Raw genomic sequence first — 22,925 nt, 5'->3', positions numbered from 1 at the left:
GACGGGCCCTTGACTTGCAGCTTCAGCTTCCACATTTAACCCTGCTTTGTTTAATCCTTGGGGTGTAACACGTTTGTCGTTACAGGACATGTTTGTCATATGTTTGTCACACGTTTGTCAAAGGACGTCTGCTTATTCCATAACTGTGATGTCTTTCCTTTGGGCCCTAAGCTCTCAGTACTTTTCTTGTCCCAGGGTCTGAGATCCGGCAGCACTTTTCGGAGTGAGACTTTATTACAGCTATTACCACACGGTACGGTAACTATTTATTCGTCATTCCCGCCCCCGCCCCGCCCCTTCTCTGCAAACTGAAACTTCCCGTAGGCTGGGGCCTAGACTGTTTACCTTTGCACCTACAGGGCTTCTCTCCTGCTGAGACACAGGAAGAACTCAATAAATGGTAAATAAATGAATAAGTACGCCTTCTCCATTTGCTGGCTGTGACCTCCAGGAAATTACTTAACCTCTCTGTTCTCCTCAGGTATAAAATGAGGCTTATGATAGTGCAACTTCCTCTTAAGGTTGTTGCTAACATTTAAGGAGAGCAAGTTCCCTGACATACAGGAAGTGCTCCATATCTGGTAGCAACTATTATTATCAGTCACAGAAGGTGTTTCTAATTTGTGTGAGCTGGAGGTTACCGATTTCCTGTGGCACTGATAGATAACATTAATAAACAATATTGAAGCTCAGAATTTTCAGTGAAAAAATAAACACAACAAATAGCAAACAATTTTAGATTTTTCCACTTTTCAGGCACAGATCTAAGTAAGCACTTTACTAAATACTTAGGAACTATTTTAGTATATACTAAATACATTAACACTTTACAAGCATTTGCGGGTTTAATCCTCTAAACAACCCTGTGAGGTACATACTATTATTACTTCCAATTTCCAAGGTATTCCGAGAAATGCAGGCACAGAAAAGTTAAGTATTTTGCCCAAGATCTAGTACAGTGGGCCCTCCATATCTTGGGTTCTGCATTCGCAGATTTAACTGATCGTAGATGGAAAATATTATCAGGGGTGGGGTTGGGGGAATTGAGTGGAATTGCATCTGTTTTTTTTTGTTTGTTTGTTTGTTTTTTGAGACGGAGTCTTGCTCTGTCGCCTAGGCTGGAGTGCAGTGGCGTGATCTCTCACTGCAACCTCCACCTCGCGCCTCCCGGGTTCAAGCAGTTCTCCTGCCTCAGCCACCCGAGTAGCTGGGATTACAGGCGCCCGCTGCCACCATGCCCGGCTAATTTTTGTATTTTGAGTAGAGACGGGTTTCATCATGTTGGCCAGGCTGGTCTCGAACACCTGACCTCAGGTGATCCACCCGCCTCGGCCCCCCAAAGTGCTGGGATTACAGGCGTGAGCCACCACGCCCAGCCGCATCTGTTTTGAATATGTACATAATTTATTTCCCTGTCATTATTCCCTAAACAATAAAGTATATTGACTATTCCTATATGTATATTTGAGACAGAGTCTTGCTCAGGCTGCAGTGCAGTGGTGCGATCTCGGCTCACTGCAACTTCTGCCTCCCGGGTTCAAGCGATTCTCCCACCTCAGCTCCCCCGCCCCCTCCCCCCCAAGTAGCTGGGATTACAGGTGCGCGCCGCAACGCCTAGCTAATTTTTGTATTTTTAGTAGAGACCAGGTTTCACCATGTTGGTCAGGCTGGTCACGAACTCCTGACCTCAGGTGATCCGCCCGCCTTGGCCTCCCAAAGTGCTGGGATTAACAAGTGTGAGCCACTGCGCCCGGCCATGAAGCTAGGGTTTGAACCCAGGGAATCTGGCTCTGGACAGAGTGCACATTCTGATCTTAACCACTTTCTCCCCTCTACAAATGATATAAAATAGTTTTTTGTTTTGTTTTGTTTTGTTTTGTTTTTTCTGAGACAGAGTTTCACTTTTGTTGCCCAGGCTGGAGTTTAGTGACGCAATCTCGGCTCACTGCAACCTTCACCTCCCAGGTTCAAGCGATTCTTATGCCTCAGCCTCCCGAGTAGCTTGGATTACAGGCATGTGCCACCACGCCGGGCTAATTTTTGTGTTTTTAGTAGAGACGGGGTTTCACCATGTTGGTCAGGCTGGTCACGAACTCCTGACCTCAGGTGATCTACCCGCCTTGGCCACCCAAAGTGCTGGGATTACAGGCGTGAGCCATTGCGCCCGGCAATTTTAATTTTTAATTTTAATTAATTTATTTTTTGAGACAGGGTCTCACTCTACAAAATTGTGTAGTTGCACAATTTTGGCTTATTGCAACCTCAACCTCCTGGGCTCAGGTGATCTTCGCACCTCAGCCTCCTGAGTACTACAGGCGTGTGTCACCATGCCGGGCTAATTTTCATATCTTTTTTTTTTGAGACGGAGTCTTGCTCTGTCGCCCAGGCTGGAGTGCAGTGGCGCGATCTTGGCTCACTGCAACCTCAGCCTCCTGGGTTCAAGCGATTCTCCTGCCTCAGCCTCCCAAGTATCTGAGACTAAGGCACATGCCACCATGGCAGCTAATTTTTTGTATTTTTAGTAGAGACGGGGTTTCACTGTGTTAGCCAGGATGGTCTCAATCTCCTGACCTTGTGATCCGTCCACCTCGGCTTCCCAAAGTGCTGGGATTACAGGCATGAGCCACTGTGCCTGGCCTAATTTTTGTATCTTTTGTGGAGATGGGGTTTACCATGTTACCCAGGCTGGTCTTCAACACCTGGGCCAAGTGATCCTCCTGCTTCGGTCTCCCAAAGTGCTAGAATTATAGGCATGAGACACTCCACTCAGCCTATTTATTTATTTGTTTATATTTAATTTTTTTTTTTGAGACAGTCTCACTTCACTGCCCAGGCTAGAGTGCAGTGGCACAATGTTAGCTCACTGTAACCTCCACCTTCCTGGCTCAAGTGATTCTCAGCCTCCCAAGTAGCTGGGATTACAGGCGCCTGCCACCATGCCTGGATAATTTTTGTATTTTTAGTAGAGACACGGTTTTTGCCATGTTGACCAGGCTGGTCTTGAACTCCTTACCTCAAGTGATCCACCTGCCTTGACCTCCCAAAGTGCAGAGATTACAGGCATGAACCACTGCATTCAGCCCTATTATTTTTATTTGATTTGATTTGAGATGGAGTTTTGCTCTTGTTGCCCAGACTGGAGTGCAGTGCACGACCTCAGCTCACCAGAACCTCCGCCTTCCAGGTTCAAGCAATTCTCCTGCCTCAGCCTCCCAAGTAGTTGGGATTACAGCCATGTGCCACCACGCCCTCCTGGCTAATTTTTGTATTTTTAGTAGAGACAGGGTTTCTCCATGTTGGTCAGGCTGGTCTCGAACTCCCGACTTTAGGTGATCTGCCTGCCTCAGCCTCCCAAATTGCTGGGATTATAGGTGTGAGGCACTGCGCCTGGCCGGCCCTATTATTTTATTTTTATTTTTATTTTTTTATTTTTTTGAGCGGAGTCTTGCTCCGTCGCCCAGGCGGGAGTGCAGTGGCGCAATCTCGGCTCACTGCAAGCTCCGCCTCCCGGGTTCACGCCATTCTCCTGCCTCAGCCTCCCGAGTAGCTGGGACTACAGGCGCCCGCCATCAGGCCCGGCTAATTTTTTTGTATTTTTAGTAGAGATGGGGTTTCACCGTGTTAGCCAGGATGGTCTCGATCTCCTGACCTCGTGATCCACCCGCCTCGGCCTCCCAAAGTGCTGGGATTACAAGCGTGAGCCACCGCGCCCGGCCCCGGCCCTATTATTTTTAAAGGCTAATCAAATAAGCAGTGGGAGTGGAAAAGGAACAAAGAAATCTGTAACTGATTGTGATCAACTAGTTGTGAACACCACTGTAACAAGCCAGCCAGAAGTTTTCTTTTTTGTTTGTTTGATTGTTTTTTGCTTTTTTTTGAGACAGGGTCTCACTCTGTCGCTCAGGCTGGGGTCCAGTGGCACGATCTTGGCTCACTGCAACCTCCACCTCCTGGGTTAAAGCGATTCTCCCACCTCAGCCTCCCAAGTAACTAGGATTACAGGTACGTGCCACCATGCCCGGCTAATATTTGTATTTTTTGGTAGAGACGGAGTTTCACCATGTTGGCCAGGCTGGTCTCGAACTCCTGACCTCTGGTGGTCCACCCACATTGGCCTCCCAAATTGCTGGGGTTACAGGTGTGAGCCACCGCACCCAGACTCAGAAGAGTTTTCTATTAATGACATTTATTGTTGTAGGGCCTTAGTTGGGCCTGATACCATAGAGTTGGCCATAAAAAGGCTCTTCTTCCACTTGGACCTTGGTCCCACGCCCTAACTCTCTCTTTGCTCCCAAGATTAATGAGAAGATTGAATAGAACTGTGAAGGTGGAAGCCAGGGATTTTTGATATCTTCAGGGATCCTGAAGCTAATCTCTCGAATCTCATGCAGATTGGGATTGGGATAACTATAAATGACAAGCCCAGGAGTTCTGAGACAAGCCTGGAAAACATAGTACGACCCCGTCTCTACAAAAAATACAAAAATTAGCTGGATGTGGTGGTGTGCATCTGTAGTCTCAGCTACTTGGGAGGCTGAGGTGGGAGGATTGCTTGAGCCCGTGAGGTTGAGGCTGCAGTGAGCCAAGACTGCACCACTGCACCCCAGCCTGGGCAATAGAGTGAGACCCCATTAAAAGAAAAGAAAAGAAAAGAAAAGAAAAAGAACCCTGAAGGTGAGAGGCAGATGCAAAAGGAAGCAGGGCAAAGAGGTTGGGGAAATTGAAAATGTTTATGTCCTAAAAGTGGTCACGGAAGTTTCAGCTGAGCACTGGCTATATTCTTTTTGGATGCCTGGAATTCTTAAGACTTCACTTTAGCTTCAAGGAGCTTACAGTCTAGTTGGAAAGAGAGATCAGATACATAAATTAACAATGCCAGACAGCCATGGGGAGTACCCATGGGAATGGGCATCTCAGGGAGTAGGAGTTTGGAAAGGAAGCAGGAAAGGTGGTAGTGAGATGGGAAGAGTTATGGGGGTGAAGAAAGGGGGAAGAGAACCCATGGTCTGGAATGCTGAATAAACTGAAATTTGCAGAAAATAGTCAAGACCTGTGCTGTTGGGCATAATCATCATCAGGAATAAATGGCACCCAGGCAGAACACACTTTCATTCTGTAAATATTTAAGTGCCTTCCAAGTGCAAGACACTGTGGCAGACACTGGGAGTTAATATTCAAGATTGAATGCAAGCCAAAAAAAAAAAAAAAAAAGATGAGGGAAAAATTCAAGACGACCTAGGTCTTTATAATGAGTTTAAGCTTTAATTAGCTTAGTGAGTTTCAGTGTTCAGGCCCATAAAAATCATATCCTAAATGATCAAGTACCTTTGGGAATGGGACTGTGGAAATATTCTTGGAAATCTTTGAGGAACTATGAAAAATAGTGAAAGTAGTGGGAAATGGACAGATGTTTATTTTTAAATTTCTATTTATTTATTTGTAGAGATGAGGTCTTGATATATTGCCCGGGCTGATCTCAAACTGCTGGCCTGAAGCCATCCTCCTGCCTTGGCCTCCCAAAGGGCTGGGATTATAGGCGTGAGCCACCGTGCCTGGCTGATGTTTAGTTTTTAAGATGATAATATCTAACTTTTATAGAGGACTCACCATATGTTAGGCACGGTTCTAAGCACTTCACATACATTATCTCATTTAATCCTGACCACATTAGGAAGTAGGTGTTATTTTTTGTCCTCATTTTTTAATTGAGGAAATAGACAGTTTGACACTTTGCTCAAGATCAAACTACTAGCATCTGCAAGAGCCAAGACATAAGCTGTCTGAATCAGAGGCCTTGCTGTTAAACATGGTAGATTCTAGAATCTTCAGAGCAAGGAATCTAACACCTGGCTAATTTCTAGAATGGATGCCAGTCATTTACTTGTCTGTGTTCAGATTAATCCTGCTGCCTCTTCCTGCAAACTGCACTTCCCAGGCTCTCTGGCCAAGTGACTTTGGGGTAGATTCAGCCAGCAGGAGGCACTAGTGGGAGACTGGAGGGGAGGCAGGGAAGGAGGACCCAGGGCGGGCCCCATCCCCTCTGCCTCAGCTTTGTCTTTAGCAGCAGCCGTGCATCTTCCATGGTTCTAGTTCCCACTGGGTAGCCTGGCTTCTTAGGTGCTGGTGACACCACCTCCTCCCTTTGTTCCTCCAGCTTCCTGCTGTTGCTTATCTCTGGGCTACCTCACCATCTCCTTTTGGACTTTTAGCAATTTCATCATATTTTTCTCGTTCTTTGTTACATTTCTTCTACTGAATTAACTGTTATGGATTGTTTACCTGACCAGATTCTGACCCATGGAGGTAATCATCACTAGTACCTGGCATAGTTCACCAACTAGACACATCATTCTAAAATCATTCTTGGCTGGGGGTGGTGGCTCATGCCGGTAATCCCAACACTATGGGAGGCTGAGGTGGGAGGATTGCTCGAGCCCGGGAGTTTGAGACCAGCCTGGACAACATAAGGAGACCCCATCTTTACAAAAAATAAAAATAAATTATCCAGGCATGGTGGCACATGCCTGTGATCTCAGCTACTTGGGAAGCTGAGGTGGGAGGATCACTTGAACCAAGGAGGTCGAGGTTACAGAGAGCTGTGATCCCACCACCTTACTCTAGCCTGGGTGCATTCCCCATCTCAAAAAGAAAAAAGTTAATTAATTAAAAATAAAAATCGACTGGGCGCGGTGGCTCACGCCTGTAATCCCAGCACTTTGGGAGGCCGAGGCAGGCAGATCATGAGGTCAGGAGTTCAAGACCAGCCTGGCCAACATGGTGAATCTCCCGTCTCTACTAAAAATATAAAAATTAGCTGGCCAGGTGCGGTGGATCATGCCTGTAATCCCAGCAATTTGGGAGGCCAAGGTGGGCGGATCACTTGAGGTCAGGAGTTCAAGACCTGCTTGGCCAGCATGGTGAAACCCTGTCTCTACTAAAAATACAAAAAAATTAGCCAGGCATGGTGGCGGGCACCTGTAATTCCAGCTACTCGGGAGGCTGAGGCAGGAGAATCGCTTAAACCCGGGAGGCAGAGTTTGTGGTGAGCTGAGATCATGCCATTGCACCCCAGCCTGGGTGACAAGAGTGAAACTCCGTCTCAAAAAAATAAATAAATAAAATACAGGCCGGGCGTGGTGGCTCACGGCTGTAATCCCAGCACTTTGGGAGGCTGAGGTGGGTGGATCACCTGAGGTCAGGAGTTTGAGACCAGCCTGGCCAACATGGTGAAATCCCGTCTCTACTAAAAATACAAAAATTAGCTGGGTGTGGTGGCGGGTGCCTGTAATCCTAGCTACTTGGGAGGCTGAGGCATGAGAATCGCTTGAACCCGGGAGGCGGAGGTTGCAGTGAGCTGAGATCACGCCGCTGCACTCCAGCCTGGCGACAGAGTGAGACTTTGTTTCAAAATAAACAAACTAACACACAAACAAAACCAAAAATCAGCTGGGTGTGGTGGCGGGCACCTGTAGTCCCAGCTACTCGGGAGGCTGAGGCAGGAGAACTGCTTGAACCTGGGAGGCGGAGGTTGCAGTGAGCCAAGATCACGCCATTGCACTCCAACCTGGGCAACAGAGCAAGACTCCATCTCAAAAAAATAAATAAATAAATAAAAAGTAAAAAATAAATAAAAGTACAAATCAATTTCTTTTTTGGGAGTATTACTTAGTACCATAAACATAGACTATCTAGATTTAAGCCAATAGGAAAATATGGGCTGAATGATAATACGATTAGTACCCTCAAGTTGAAATAGGTATTCATAATGCACACATCAAAACTGATGTCAATCTGCAGAGTCCCAGTCAACATATACAAAAATTAATTAAGGCCGGGCACAGTGGCTTACGCCTGTAATCCCAACACTTTGGGAGGCTGAGGTGGGCAGATTGCTCGAGCTCAGGAATTTGAGACCAGCCTATACAAAATGGTGAAACCCAATCTCTACAAAACATACAAAAATTAGCCACTGCTCTCCAGACTGGGTGACAGAGTAAGACCTTGTTTTAAAAAAAAAAACAAAATTATATGAAGATGTAGAATAAGAGTTAATTAGATTTTAAGATGACATGAATTGGAATTGGGAGCTAGAAGACAAAATAAGGAATCTAAAGATTTTGACAACCTAGGATGATGGATCTGAGAGATCTACGATGACAGAGGAGATAAAAATGCAAAATTCAGGCTGGGCGCGATGGCTCACACTTGTAATCCCAGCACTTTGGGAGGCTGAGGTGGGCGGATCATGAGGTCAGGAGATCGAGACCATCCTGGCTAACAAGGTGAAACCCCGTCTCTACTAAAAATACAAAAATTAGCTGGGCGTGGTGGTGGGTGCCTATAGTCCCAGCTACTCAGGAGGCTGAGGCAGGAGAATGGCATGAACCCAGGAGGCAGAGCTTGCAGTGAGCCGAAATGGCACCACTGCACTCCAGCCTGGGCAACAGAGCGAGACTCTGCCTCAAAAAAAAAAAAAAAAAAAAATTGCAAAATCCTACAACTTAGGTTAAAAACACCAACTTACAGAAAGGACAGGTAGCTTAATTATTGTTTATGTAAAGAGGAATTAAGCCCAGAAACTTGGGAGGCTAAGGTGGGAGAATTTCTTGAGCCCAGAAGTTTGAGTCCAGCCAGGGCAACATAGCAAGACCCCTTCTTTAAAAATAAAAACTAGGAGCCTGGCACGGTGGCTCACACCTGTAATCCCAGTGCTTTAGGAGGCTGAGGCAGGTGGATCACTTAAGGTCCAGAGCTCAAGACCAGCCTGGTCAACATGGTGAAACCCCGTTTCTACTAAAAATACAAAAATGAACCAGGTGTGGTGGCGTGTGCCTGTAATCCCAGCTACTTGGGAGGCTGAGGCAGGAGAATTGCTTGAACCTGGGAGGCGGAGGTTGCAGTGAGCTGAGATCGCGCCATTGCACTCCAGCCTGGACAACAAGAGTGAAACTCCGTCTCAAAAATTAATAAAATAAAATAAAATAAAATAATAAAAACTAGGGGCCAGGCACAGTGGCTCATGCCTGTAATCCCAGCACTTTGGGAGGCCAAGGTCAGAGGACTGCCTGAAGACAGGAGTTTGAGACCAGCTTAGGCAATATAGCAAGACCCTGTTTCTACAAAAAATAAAAATACAAATAAATTTAATTGACAGATTAGAGATTTCTGCTGGTGCTGAATGAATTAGCATGGCGTGGTTGCATAAAAGCTAACATATTAGAGAAGCAGAACTGGCCAGTACTGCCATTTATCAGGTGAATGAACTTGGCAAGTTTTTACTTTTCTATGCCCAATTTTCTCCATGTATAAAGTAAGGATGATGCTAATATTAGTGTTTTAGTTATCTATTGCTGCATAGCAAATTGCCCCAAAACTTAGGGCTTAAAACAGTGACCATTTATTTTCTCACAGGTTTTGTGTGTCAGTAATTCAGAAGTAACTTAGCTGGGTGATTCCGACTTGGTGTTTCTCATGAAGGTGCAGTCATCTGAAGACTTGACTGGGGCTGAAGGATCCATTTCCAAGATGGCTCACTTATGTGCCTGGCAAGTAGGTATTGGCTGTTGGCAGGAGGCCTCAGTTCCTCCCCATATGGGCATCTCTATAAGCTGTTTGAGTGTCCTCATAACATGGCAGCTGGCTTCCCCTAGAATGGGCAATGTAAGAGAGAGCAAGGTGGAAGTCACAATGCTTTTAACACTCAGTCTCAGAAAGCACACCCCATCATTTCTGCAATATCCCTTAGTAACACAGGTCTGCCCTATGCATTGTAGGAGGAGATTACACAAAAGCACAAATATTGACAGGTAAAGATCATTGAGGTCCATCCTGAAGGCTGGCTATGCTAGTCTACACTAGTCTACACTCTGGCTCCCAAAGGTTCATGTCCTTCACAAATGCAAATCTGTTCAACCCTCCCAAGGGACTCAAAAGTCTCATCCCATTACAAAATCAGCTTGAAGTCCAGAATCTTGTCATCTAAAACAGGCCTCCAGGTGAGGTTCTTCTGGACTAATTCCTATGTACAGCTCCTTGAGTAGCTCTTCTTGATCTGAAGACCTATGAACTAAAAAGAGAACTCATATTCCCTGTCCTACTCCTCCATCACCAACATACAATGATGAGATGTGGGAAAAGCATAGGATTACCTCTACAAATATTTCTATTCACAAAAAGAGAGAGGTCTGCCGGGCATGATGGCTCACACCTGTAATCCCAGAACTTTGGGAGGCCAAGGCAGACGGATCACCTGAGGTCAGAAGTTCGAGACCAGCCTGACCAACATGGAGAAACCCCGTCTCTACTAAAAATACAAAATTAGCTGGGCGTGGTGGCACATGCCTGTAATCCCAGCTACTTGGGAGGCTGAGGCAGGAGAATTGCTTGAATGTGGGAGGCAAAGGTTGCAGTGAGCCAAGATCATGCCTTTGCACTCTAGCCTGGGCAAGAAGAGCAAAACTCTGTCTCAAAAAAAAAGGCCAGGTGCAGTGGCTCATGCCTGTAATCCCAGCACGTTGGGAGGTCGAGGTGGGCAGATCATGAGATCAGGAGATCAAGACCATCCTGGCTAACACGGTGAAAACCCGTCTCTACTAAAAACACACAAAAAAATTAGCCGGGCATGGTGACAGGGTCCCGCTACTTGGTAGGCTGAGGCAGGAGAATGGCATGAACCCAGGAGGCAGAGCTTGCAGTGAGCCAAGATTGCACCACTGCACTCCAGCCTGGGCAGCAGAGCTAGACTCCGTCTCGGAAAAAAAAAAAAAAAAAAAAAAAGAGAGGTCCCTGGGGGCAGGGAAAAAAAAGGATAAATAAACATAGGAAGTAGTCTCTATTCTATAGAAAAATACTGAAGGATACAGGTTGGCTGTTCCTTGAGTAGAGCTCAGGATCTGAGCATAATTTCTCATAGCTCTTGGCCCCAGCTTTGGGCTCTTTGTGCTCTGCCCTCTGAGCCACCTTTCCTTTTTATAGAAAGGCTCATGCTTGCAGCTGTGTTGTTTTCTCAGCCTGCTTTTGCTGCAGAAGTGTGGGGGTCAAGACTGGGCATGGTGGCTCATGCCTGTAATCCCAGCACTATGGGAGGCCGAGGCAGGTGGATCACTTGAGGTCAGGAGTTCAAGACCAGCCTGGGCAACATTGTGAAACCCCGTCTCTACTAAATATACAAAAATGAGCCAGGCATGGTGACACACGCCTGTAATCCCAGCTACTGGGGAGTATGAGGTGGGAGAATCACTTGAACCTAGGAGGTAGAGGCTGCAGTGAGCCAAGATCATGCCACTGCACTCCAGCCTGGGTGACAGGGTGTGAGGCTCCATCTGAAAAAAAAAAAAAAAAAAAAAAAAAAAAAAAAGTTTGGGGGTCCAAAAACTTCTTCTTATTTTGTATTCCCTCTATCTGTTTCAATACAAGCTGGTAGCATTTCTGCCAATACAATTTTCTTAAAACTTTTGCGAATCTCCATTAAATCTTATTGGGGTTCACTCAATTAGATAAAAGTTGTACTCACAAATCTCTTTGAGATAAACTCTTTTCTAACTCAGGCTTCAGTTTAGACTGCTGAGGGGCAACACTCATAAGCTTCTTCTTTTTTTTTTTTTTTTGATGGAGTCTCGCTCTGTCACCCAGGCTGTAGTGCAGTGGCGCAGTCTCGGCTCACTGCAACCTCTGCCTCCTGGGTTCAAGTGATTCTCCTGCCTCAGCCTCCTGAGTAGCTGGAACTACCAGTGCCTGCCACTATGCCTGGCTAATTTTTGTATTTTTAGTAGAGACAGGGTTTCACCATATTGGCCAGGCTGGTCTCGAACTCCTGACCTTGTGATCTGCCCGCCTTGGCCTCCGGAAGTGCTGGGATTACAGGCATGAGCCACCGCGCCCAGCCATAGCTTCTTTTTAAAATTTTTTAGAGACAGGATCTTTCTCTGTCACACAGGTTAGAGTACAATAATACAATCATAGCTCACTGCAGTGTAGAACTCCTGGGTTCAAGTTATTCTCCTGCCTCATCCTCTGGAGTAGCTATGACTACAGGTGCATACTTTCATGCCCACTATTTTATTTTTATTTTTATTTTTATTTTTTTGAGACGGAGTCTCACTCTCTTGCCCAGGCTGTAGTGCAGTGGCGTGATCTTGGCTCACTGTAACCTCCACCACCTGGGTTCAAGCAATTCTCCTGCCTTAGCCTTCCGAGTAGCTGGGATTACAGGCATGTGCCACCACGCCCGGCTAATTTTTTTGTATTTTTAGTAGAGACAGTGTTTCACTATATTGGCCAGGCTGGTCATGAACTCCTGACCTTGTGATCCGCCTGCCTTGGACTCCCAAAGTGCTGGGAGCCACCGCACCAGGCCCATGCCCACTAATTTTAAAAATTTTTTTGTAGGATGGGACCATGCTATGTTGTCCAGGCTGGTCTTGAACTCCTGGCCTTAAGCAATCCTCCCACCTCGACCTTCTAGAGTTCTGGGATTACAGGTGTGACCCACCATGCCTGGCTCTTAAGATTCTTAAAAACTATATCGTTAGGCTGGGTGCTGTGGCTCATACCTGTAATCCCAGCACTTTGGGAGGCCGAGGTGGGTAGATCACATGAGGTCAGGAGTTTGAAACAGCCTGGCCAACATGGTGAAACCCTGTCTGTACTAAAAATACAAAAATTAGCCAGACATGGTGGTACGTTCCTGTAGTCCCAGCTACTCGGGAGGCCGAGGCAGGAGAATTGTTTGGACCCAGGAGGCGGAGGTTGCAGTGAGCTAAGATCATGCCACTGCACTCCAGCCTGGGTGACAGAGTGAGACTCTGTCTCAAAAAAAACCAAAACCAAAACCAAAAACCAAAAACCCCAAAAACCATATTGTTAGACTAAATGGTTTCCTGAGTACCACCTTAGATCCTTCTGATATTAACAAAGCATGTTACACTCAATCTTGGCTTTGTCTTTATACCATGTTTTCCTGAGAGTGCCCTGAATTTGATACTTGCCCAGAAGCTATTTAAAAAATTTAACATCATTTACTGTCTGGAGAGGCTGAGAATTTTAAAATCCAAAAATTCCTGGCTCTCTTTTTGTTTTTCTTTTGAGACGGAGTCTTGCTCTGTCGCCAGGCTGGAGTGCGATGGCGAGATCTCGGCTCACTACAACCTCCGCCTCCTGGGTTCAAGTGATTCTCCCGCCTCAGCCTCCCGAGAGTTGGGACTACAGGTGAGCGCCACCATGCCCAGCTAATTTTTGTATTTTTAGTAGAAACGGGGTTTTACCATGTTGGCTAGGATGGTCTTGATCTCTTGACCTTGTGATCTGCTCGCCTTGGCCTCCCAAAGTGCCTGGATTACAAGCGTGAGCCACCATGCCCGGCCTCCTGGCTCTTTTTAAGTGGTATTTTTTTTTCTTAGCTATCTATCTCGCACTTTACTATAAGCAGCAAAGAAGAAACCAGGTGTTAACTTCAACATTCTCCCTGAAAATCTCCTTAGCTAGATTTCCCATTCATTAATTACATTTTTTACTTTCCATGTTACTACACACTAACTATAGTTGCTAAACTTGCTGAATAACGAGAATCCTTTTTCTTCCAGTTTCTTTTTTTCTTTCTTTTTTTTTTTTTTTTTTGAGATGGAGTCTTGCTCTGTTGCCCAGGCTGGAGTGCAGTGGCACGATCTCAGCTCACTGCAAGCTCCGCCTCCCGGGTTCATGCCATTCTCCTGCCTCAGCCTCCCGAGTAACTGGGACTACAGGTGCCCACCACCAGACCTGGCTAATTTTTTGTATTTTTAGTAGAGATGGGGTTTCACTGTGTTAGCCAGGATGGTCTCAATCTCCTGACCTCGTGATCCGCCTGCTTCGGCCTCCCAAAGTGCTGGGATTAGAGGCGTGAGCCACCGCGCCCGGCCTCTTCCAGTTTTAAAACACATTTTCCTCACTTTCCTTAAGTCTTCACTGGCCGCCTCTTCAAAGACCATCATGTCTGGGTATGGTGGCTTGTGCCTATAATCTCAGTGACTTAGGATCAGTTGAGGCCAGGAATTTGAAATCAGCCTGGGCAACATAGCAAGACCCTGTCTTTAAAAAAAAAAAAAAAGAGGCCACTGTGGTTCTACTAACTGTCGCGTCCAGGCATTTTAGACTTTCACTAACACTCTTCTCAAAGTCTTTCCAGCTTCTGCCCTTTGCCGAATTTCAAAGTCATTCTTACATTTTAGTTGTTTGTCACAGCAGCACTCCACTTTTAGTACCCAAACCTATTAGTTATCTATTGCTGAATGAGAAATCATCCCAAAATTTCACAGCTTAAAATATAAAATAAACATTTATTGTTGTAATCATTTTATATTGGCCAGGAATTTGAAAGTGACTTACCTAGATGAACCTGGCTTAGGATCTCTCATTAGGTTGCAGTCCAAATGTTGGCCAGGACAGTAATCATCTGAAGGTTTGACCGTGGCTGGAGGATCTGCCTCCAAGATGGCTCACTCATATGCCTGGCAAGTTCATGCTGGCTGTTGGCAGGAGGCCTCAGTTCCTTACCTGTGGACCTCTCTATAAGACTTCTTGAGTGTCCTGCAGCATGGCAGCTAGCTTTCTTCAAAATGAGTGATCCAAAAGACAGCAAAACATATTTTTGATTTTAGATTTTAGATTTTTATAATGTCTTTTATTGCTTATTATTCTTGGAAGTCACACACTGTCACTGCTGCCAGACTCCATTAGAAACAAGTCACTGGCCAGGCAGGGTGGCTCACACCTGTTATCCCAGCACTTTGGGAGGCTGAGGCAGGTGGATCACCTGAGGTCAGGAGTTCAAGACTAGCCTGGCCAACATGGTCAAAAATTAGCCTGGTGTGGTGGCATGTGCCTGTAGTTCCAGCTACTCTAGAGGCTGAGGCAGAATTGTTTGAACCCGGGAGTCGGAGATTGCAGTGAGTGGAGATCACGCCACTGCACTCCCAGCCTGGGTGACAGAGCAAGACTCTATCTCAAAAGAAAAATAAATAAAAAAATATTTATTTAATATATAATAATAATGAGTATTTATAATAATATATAATAATAATGAGTATTTACACTGTACTAAAATACCACGTCCTTCCTTTACGCCACTGCAGTCTTCCTTCCTTTCAGTTAGAGTATGAGCCAAAGTCTTTACAATGACTTACAGGGTTTTATGGGATGTCACCCCATGACCTGTCTGATCTCCTCTTCTATTGCTGTCTTCCTTGATCATTCTGTTCCAGCCACACTACCTTGTTCACTAAGACATGAATATGGGAGCCATGTACTCACCTCAGTCTTGGCATTTACTTCTGCTTTTGCTTGGAATGCTCTTCTTCCTGAGAACCACTTGGTTTGTTCCCTCATATCCTCAGGTTCTTGGTGGGGCCTTCTCTGACCCCAGTGTATAAAATTACACCCCCAACAATGTCTATCTCCCTTCCTCAATTAATTTTTCTCCTTAGCACTTAGCACTATCTAATAAACTATTTTATTAATTCATCACATTTATCCCTGCTCTTCTCACAAGAATGTATGTTCCATGAGGGCAGGGTCTATTTGTTTACTGCCGTATCCTCAGTGCCAAAAACAATGTCTAGCACATAGTAGGTATTCAATAAATGCTTTTTGAGTGAATGAATCAGTGACCACTAGTGACAGGCATCACATAGATGATGTCTTTTAATCTACTCAACTACCCTTTGTATTATTAGCTCCATGTTAAAGGTGAGGAAACTGAAGCTCCAGCAGGATATATAACTTGCTGAAGGTCCCAACCAGTAAGCAGTAAAGACTAGATTCACACACTAATTGCCAAGTCCAGAGCCCTTGTTCCTAGCCACTACCTGTTACTGCCTCCTCATATACTGGAAGCCACATTATAAAAGATTAGTAAAATGAAATAATGCGGAGGAAGGTGACAGGAATGTTGAAATGTCTCTAAGTCATGTCATATGATAAGCTGTTTATGAAACTAGAAATGCTTTTCAACTAAAGGAAAGCTTAACCTTTATTTTTATTTATTTATTTATTTTTTGAGACAGGGTCTTACTCTGTTGCCCAGGCTGGAGTGCAGTGGCACGATCATGGCTCACTGCAACCTTTACCTCCTAGGCTTAAGCAGTCCTCCCATCCCAGCCTGCCAAGTAGTTGGGACTACAGCCCGGCGCCACTATGCCTGACTAATTTTTGTATTTTTTGGTAGAGACGGGTATTCACCATGTTGCCCAGGATGATCTCGAACTCCTGAGCTTAAGCAATTCTCCCACCTTGGCTTCCCAAAGTGCTGGGATTATAGGGGTGAGCCACTGCACCCGGCTGGAGAGCTTAACTTTAGTGAAAACTAGATTGAAATGTTTGACAAGCTGTAGTGTAGAACAAGAATTTGTTTATTCTGTATACTCTGAAGGCCAGAAACTGGAATTCATGGAGCAAATAAAGTCAGTCTACTTCCTGCTTGAGGTACAGAGGCTGAGGGCAAGTGTTGATATAGAGGGATACCTGTCTGGGGCCATCAGTACTCCTTGACAACTCTGTGACTCATCAGTTTCAGGATGGCCCACTTCACAGAAGACAGGGGCAAAGGGAGCTTATTGAAGTAAGTTGTCTCGCTTTGTTGCCAGGCTGGAGTGCAGTGGCACAATCTGAGCTCACTGCAACCTCTGCCTCCTGGGTTCAAGCGATTCTCCTGCCTCAGCCTCCCGAGTCGCTGGGACTAGAGGTGTGTGCCATCATGCCCAGCTAATTTTTGTATTTTTAGTAGAGATGGGGTTTTACCATGTTGGCCAGGATGGTCTCGATCTCTTGACCTCATGATTGGCCTTCCACAGTGCTGGGATTAGAGGCACGAGCTCGTGAGCCACCGCACCCTGCCAGGCTTTTTTTTTTTTTTTTTCCTTAAGACAGAGTTTTTTGCTTTGTTGTGCAGGCTGGAATGCAATGGTGTGATGTCGGCTGACTGCAACCACTGCCTCCTGGGTTCAAGCAATTCTCCTGCCACAGCCTCCTGAGTAGCTAGTATTACAGGCATGCGCCACCATGCCCAGCTAATTTTTGTGTTTTTAGTGGAGACAAGATGGGGTTTCACCATGTTGGCCAGGCTGCTCTCGAACTCCTGACCTCAGGTGATCCACCCGCCTCAGCCTCCCAGGGATCCACCCTCCTCAGCGCGGGAGCCACCGCGCCCAGCCGCAGTTCAATTTTTTATGTGGGGTGGGAACACCCCTTGGAAATTTGAGCGTAACCTCAAATCATGTCCATTTTTTGAGCCTCTGGTATATTAAAAAATTAAGGCTGGGCCCAGTGGCTCATGCCTGTAATCCCAACACTTTGGGAGGCCGAGGAGGGCGGATTACCTGAGGTCAGGAGTTTGAGACCAGCCTAGCCAACATGGTGAAACCCTATCTCTACTAAAAATACAGAAATTAGCCAGGCATGGTGGCGGGTGCCTGTAATCCCAGCTACTCAGGAGGCTGAGGCACGAGAATCGCTTGAATCCAGGAAATGAGGTTGCAAATGAGCCGACATTGTGCCACTGCACTCCAGCCTGGGTGATAGAGCCAGACTCTAAATAATAATAATAAAAACAACTAAGAAATGCTAAGATGATTTTGATAATACTTGGTATATTTAAACATTTAACAAATACAAACTTGGTACAAACAACACAGCTATATAGTACTATTTACAAGAACCAACAGGAATTTTTTTAACTACAAAATTAGAAATTTAAGGGCCTTTATAAATGTGAGGCTGAGACCAAAGGATTCTCATGGCACCAGGGTGAGGACGAGGACAGGGGCATGGGTGCAGGTTAGAGGTCCCTCAAGAGGCATGGGTGTTATCTCCAAAAGCCTCAGGGAATTGGCACAGAAATGTCCCACTCTTAGATAAAGGGGACACAGGGGCCTGCTTGTCTTGGTCAGAAGGAGTTCTGTGATAGCATTCTGCAGTCCAGGAGTGCAGAGTCTCATCTGGACTCTTACCCTGGGACCCCGGGGACAGGCATCCTGGAGTGATTCGTGTCTGAGGCGCCCACAGGGGGGCAGTGTGACAACTCAGAGGCGCTCCAAGGAGAGGGCACAGAAGTGCCAACCTTCTCCCCTCCCGCGGACCATCTGTCCTGTACCACCCGCCGCCCCCCCACTCCCTGTCCTTTCCTGGAGTTAGTGAGGGCTGCCCACCAACCTCCACACAGGGACAGCAGACGGAAACTCTGACATTTCCCTCTCTGCAGCTGGAAAGCTAAGAGCGGCTTGTCTGCCCGTCTCGCCGAGTCCCACCCCTTTAAGTACAGGTGTCCAGGGTGGAAACATGGAAAGTGGAACAGGGGAAGGAAGAGGCTGGTAGTGCCCGTGGCCCTGGCGGGACTGGCTTTGCCTCTGCCTCTCAGTTCCCTAGGTTCGGTTTGCAGTCCCAACATCCAGCACAAGGGGGCGCTACCACCCTGCAAACCCTGCCCCGCGGGTCTTGCACATGGAGTGGGCGCAGCCATAGAGAGTGGGGTGTGTTCCTCTAAGTCCCTTACCCAGCTTTCCTCCTCTCAGAACCTACATGCAATCTTGTGCAGGGATGAGGTGGGGAGACCTCTGGAGCACAGGCCAGCAAAGCAGAGGAGAGTTTGGGGAATCTGACATAGAGCTTAGAGGGATAGAGGGAAGAGAGGCCTCCTGGCTGGGCCCTCCAGGTCAGAGTCTAGGTGTGGGCTGGGCTGGGAGTGCAAGCCAAAGGCTGGGTATTTCCAGAAGAGTTGGGTCAACACAAACTGATACCAACCACTCCCAGATTAAGGGCAGGCAGGGAGTGGAGAGTTGACACCTAAGCGGGAGGGGATGGGGCCTACAGGGACAAAGTAGGAGTTCTGGGGGTATGAACCTCTTTACCTCAATATATTTTTCTTTTTTAAAACCTTTTAAAGATTGACGTGATGGTTGGTCTGAAGGTAGTGTGTTATCTCAACTGATTGCTCACAGTCAGTTACAGATCAAACTCCTTGTTCTGTTCTTTTCCCCCTTCTCACTACTGCACTTGACTAATCTAAAAAAAAAATAATAAGGTAAAATATACCATGAAAGGCCGGGCACATTGGCTCACGCCTGTAACCCCAGCACTTTGGGAGACTGGGGCGGGCAGATCATGAGATCAGGAGTTTGAGATCTGCCTGGTGAACGTGGTGAAACCCTGCCTCTACTAAAAATACAAAAAAAAAAAAAAAGAAAAAAGTTAGCTGGGTGTGGCGGGCGCCTGTAATCCCAGCTACTCAGGAGGCTGAGGCAGGAGAATCATTTGAACCCGGGAGGCGGAGGTTGCGGTGAGCCGAGATCGCACCATTGCACTCCACCATGGGCGACAGGGCGAGACTCTGTCTCACACACACAAAAATATATATGTACCATGATGCTCACAAAGTGCACTAAGTTTAAGTGTTCAGCTCAATTATTTGAGTTATGTATTCACTACTTATGTGTCCATAATATGTACATATGTATACAATACTTATGTAATCACAACTACCACTGGTAATTCAATTCAACAAATTTTACTGAGTGCCTCCTGTGTGTCTAGCACTATTTTACCCGTTTGTAAGAAAAGTGAGGCTAGAACCTGTTTTCCAGTGGCTGTGATAGGGTTGGTATTATGAATTATAGTAATTCCTTGACAGAACTATACCATCACCTGGTATGAGAGAGCAACATTGTGTGATCTACTCACAGTGACCGTCATCTTGGACTCCAGAATGGGAAGAATTGTCTGCCGTGTCTGAATATACTAACTCACAGAACTCCAGGGGACAAAACTGGAGCCAGGAAATAGAGTCAGGGCAGCCATACTCCTAGCACAGAATCAGGTGCTGAGCAGGCGAGAGAGCCTTTTGGGGAATTGATCCTGCTCTCTGGCCTGGTGCTACATGTCTCTGTAAGTTGGGCAATGAGTGATGTCTTTGACAAACCAAAGTGAAATGGAGCCTGTTGCGTGTGTATGAATCCACTAGGCCTTCTGACACGCCAGTCTTTTTTCTCAGCTTTGTGGTCAGCCTGGCCTTGCCTCACCCAGACCCCATCCTGCTCCAAGTCAGGGAACTGCCCCTAGCAGGAAACTGAGTGAGTGAGCAGGATGTGGCCGGTGATGAGGCAGCTCCCAGACCTGGCTGGTCCCTGAGTCAATGAGCTACTTCGGGCACTCAAAGGAAGCCCTTCCGCCCATTCATTACTTCCACCGCCTCTTCTATCACCTCTACCATCCCTCCCTATCCAGGTGTGGGTCTTTGGAGGCAGGGAGCTGGTCTCCTTCTTCTGTAAGTCACAAAGGAATAAGGGCAATCTGGGGCAAATGGCCTCAGCATGGAGGCAGAGGAGGCTGCTCCTTGGGGATGCCAGTGACTGCCCTGGCCAGGAGGCTGCCAGTAATCTTGCTTTGGAGTCCCTAGGGCCAGGACTGGTGGCAGGGTAGGACAGAGGGGGCTGGGCCTGGCTGGGGAAGGCTGGCCTGGAAGGAGCTGAGCCATCGGCCCTGGGCCAGGGTGGAAAATATGTGTGTGAGCTCATTTGGAAGGTGGCTTCTGGCCAGTCAGGCCTGCCTCCCTTCCAGGCCCTGGCTGCCCAGCCCCTTGCAGGCGGCCTCCGGTCTCCCTACTTTCACAAGACTGAGAGAGGAGGGCAGAAACCCCCAAGGCTGGGGCTAGGTGTGCAGACTTGAGCTTTTAAAAGAGGTGTACTCAGATTTGGGTTGGTAGGTAGGAAACGGGACAGGAGCTGCAGGACGACGGAGCAGCCTTGGCTGGAGTTTCCTTGGGGACTTTGGGAATGGGCACCACCCCTGAAGCCCCCTGCCCCCCCATGCCCTTGCACAGAAACATTCACCAATCCCACCCTTCCCTTAGCTGCTGCCATTGTCTCATTCCATCCCTTTGGCTTCTGAGTCTTGGTGCCACCTTCCTTCCTTCAGAGTACGGCTCCTGTCCCCAGGAAGGGAGGCGATGGGCTGGCAAAGTGGGGTCCTTTTCCCTCTGCACTCCTATCCCCCATAATATTGCTGCACAATAAGCAAATACAGCCGGGTGCTCACGCCTGTAATCCCAACACTTTGGGAGGCCGAGGCAGGCGGATCACCTGAGGTTGGGAGTTCGAGACAAGCCTGACCAACATGGAGAAACCCTGTCTCTACTAAAAATACAAAATTAGCCGGGCGTGGTGGCACATGCCTGTAATCCCAGCTACTTGGGAGGCTGAGTCAGGAGAATCGCTTGAACCCAGGAGGTGGCGGTTGCGGTGAGCTGAGATCGTGCCATTGCACTCCAGCCTGGGCAACAAGAGTGAGACTCTGTCTCAAAACAACAACAACAACAAAAGCCATAATAAGCAAATACATATGTGCTGACAGATCCCCAGAACACACACTGCCATGAAAACGCCCAGCTACCCAGGGTCCATGCTGGAAGAGACACCAAGAGATTGCCAGGATCTGCCAGTATAGAAAAATAAATAAATAAATTGGAAAGATCTGGGTTTTAAATTTGGACTAACAACCTGTGACCTTGACCAAGTTATTTATCTTTCTGGGCCTCAGTTCCCTTATTTGTTAAATGGGGACAATATTAGTGCCTGTGTCACTGTGTGTTGTAAGGACCTCAGCAAATGTTAGTTTCACCATTGCTGGAAGGGAAGGAGGGATACAGAGTGGAAAGAGACCACTGGAAAGTCTGTCAGATTGTGGGGAGAAGGGGCCCTGGGGGAGGGACAGTGAAGGACTGGCAGAGCTAGCCAGATTATGTTTTGGGGTCTGGAGGGGTGTGGGGGTGTCTCTCTGCCCAGTCCTCTCTCCTCTAGAGGACCTAGCTCCTCTTAGATCTTCCCTTCCCTTCCCGCTGACCCAGCGCCTGGCCGGCAGCCCTGGAGTCATGGGCCCAGCTGGTGCCAGGAGCCCTGGAGAAGGGGAGGTGATGACAAGGGAGTCCGTGGCCCCCCTCCAGATGTGTGGGGTGCAGTCGTGGGCAGAGTGCTGCTCCTCCTCGGCCCTTGCCCCCCGTCCAGCGTCTCCTTAGCACCAACTTTCCTGGGTTCTGCCCAAACCTCCTTGAAGATTCCCCTTGGCTCCCTCCTGGCTGCTCCAACTCACATGTGCTGCTTTCGAATAAAGGAACTTGGAACCATAGAAACTGGGTCAGGCCCAATGGACAGATCGGGGTAGGGCCAGTGAAAGCCGAGTTTGCAGGTCTTTCGGAAGCCACAGAGCCCTCTGCTCTCCCCTCACCCCAGCCTGACCTGGCGGTTCACTCAGCGGGAACTTGTGATCACTAAGGCACCTCCCAGGGTCCCCGGGCAGCCTCACTGGGGTGGATCAGGCAGGCCCAGGCACGTCAGAAGCACGGGACCCTGCCGCCTCCACCCTGAAATTCTCTCCGCTTGTGAAGCTTGTTTTAATTTTTATTTTATTTTTTTAAACCAGTCAAATTTAGCAGTGGGGGGTTTTATAAGCCCATCTTCCACCTCTTTCCCCTTTGTCTCTGGTCCTCCATTCCCATTTCTCCCCCTTGGCTCCAGAGAGCATCTTGTGATTCCAGAATCAGGGCCAAACAATTTCCTCGTGATGGGGAAACCGCACTCCAGCGCGGGAGCCCTAGGCTCCCCCTCCTCTTCTCTCTGGCAGTCCCCCCTCCCCAGGCTCCTCCACTGGCTCCAGCTGTGTTTTGCAAAACTCCCACTGGATAACATCTGTAATTGCCTCCAGATGTGGACCACAAAAACACAAAGGGGCCATGAGCTCATCTTTGAGTTCCTTGCCACCCGCACAGACCCTACCACCCTCAGATGCCCCTGACTTCCCCTGCCACCTTATCAAGGTCCCCATCCCCTCCGGTAAGGGTGGTGGTGAGGTGGTGTCCAATTCCACCGAGACACACAGACTGCCAAACAGCTGTTGGCAGGGGGAGGCGC

At 47.5% G+C, this 22,925-nt stretch overlaps 6 annotated features.

Moving 5' to 3' along the window:
* Positions 128–287: an enhancer, noted in NCBI's record as "active region_8148". NCBI's record gives its function as "activates an Ori minimal core promoter by ATAC-STARR-seq in GM12878 lymphoblastoid cells {active_cell/tissue: GM12878}" and the evidence as "EXISTENCE:reporter gene assay evidence [ECO:0000049][PMID:35858748]".
* Positions 17,759–17,808: an enhancer, noted in NCBI's record as "active region_8147". NCBI's record gives its function as "activates an Ori minimal core promoter by ATAC-STARR-seq in GM12878 lymphoblastoid cells {active_cell/tissue: GM12878}" and the evidence as "EXISTENCE:reporter gene assay evidence [ECO:0000049][PMID:35858748]".
* Positions 18,189–18,238: an enhancer, noted in NCBI's record as "active region_8146". NCBI's record gives its function as "activates an Ori minimal core promoter by ATAC-STARR-seq in GM12878 lymphoblastoid cells {active_cell/tissue: GM12878}" and the evidence as "EXISTENCE:reporter gene assay evidence [ECO:0000049][PMID:35858748]".
* Positions 18,539–18,728: an enhancer, noted in NCBI's record as "active region_8145". NCBI's record gives its function as "activates an Ori minimal core promoter by ATAC-STARR-seq in GM12878 lymphoblastoid cells {active_cell/tissue: GM12878}" and the evidence as "EXISTENCE:reporter gene assay evidence [ECO:0000049][PMID:35858748]".
* Positions 22,156–22,450: an enhancer, noted in NCBI's record as "tiled region #964; HepG2 Activating non-DNase unmatched - State 20:ReprD". NCBI's record gives its function as "activates a minimal TATA promoter and a strong SV40 promoter by Sharpr-MPRA in HepG2 cells {active_cell/tissue: HepG2}" and the evidence as "EXISTENCE:reporter gene assay evidence [ECO:0000049][PMID:27701403]".
* Positions 22,156–22,450: a silencer, noted in NCBI's record as "tiled region #964; K562 Repressive non-DNase unmatched - State 7:EnhWF". NCBI's record gives its function as "weakly represses a minimal TATA promoter and a strong SV40 promoter by Sharpr-MPRA in K562 cells {active_cell/tissue: K562}" and the evidence as "EXISTENCE:reporter gene assay evidence [ECO:0000049][PMID:27701403]".

This window comes from Homo sapiens, chromosome 14, assembly GCF_000001405.40.
Source record: "Homo sapiens chromosome 14, GRCh38.p14 Primary Assembly".
In the NCBI taxonomy this organism is placed as follows: domain Eukaryota; kingdom Metazoa; phylum Chordata; class Mammalia; order Primates; family Hominidae; genus Homo; species Homo sapiens.
This window is presented reverse-complemented; position numbering and strand designations above follow the sequence as displayed.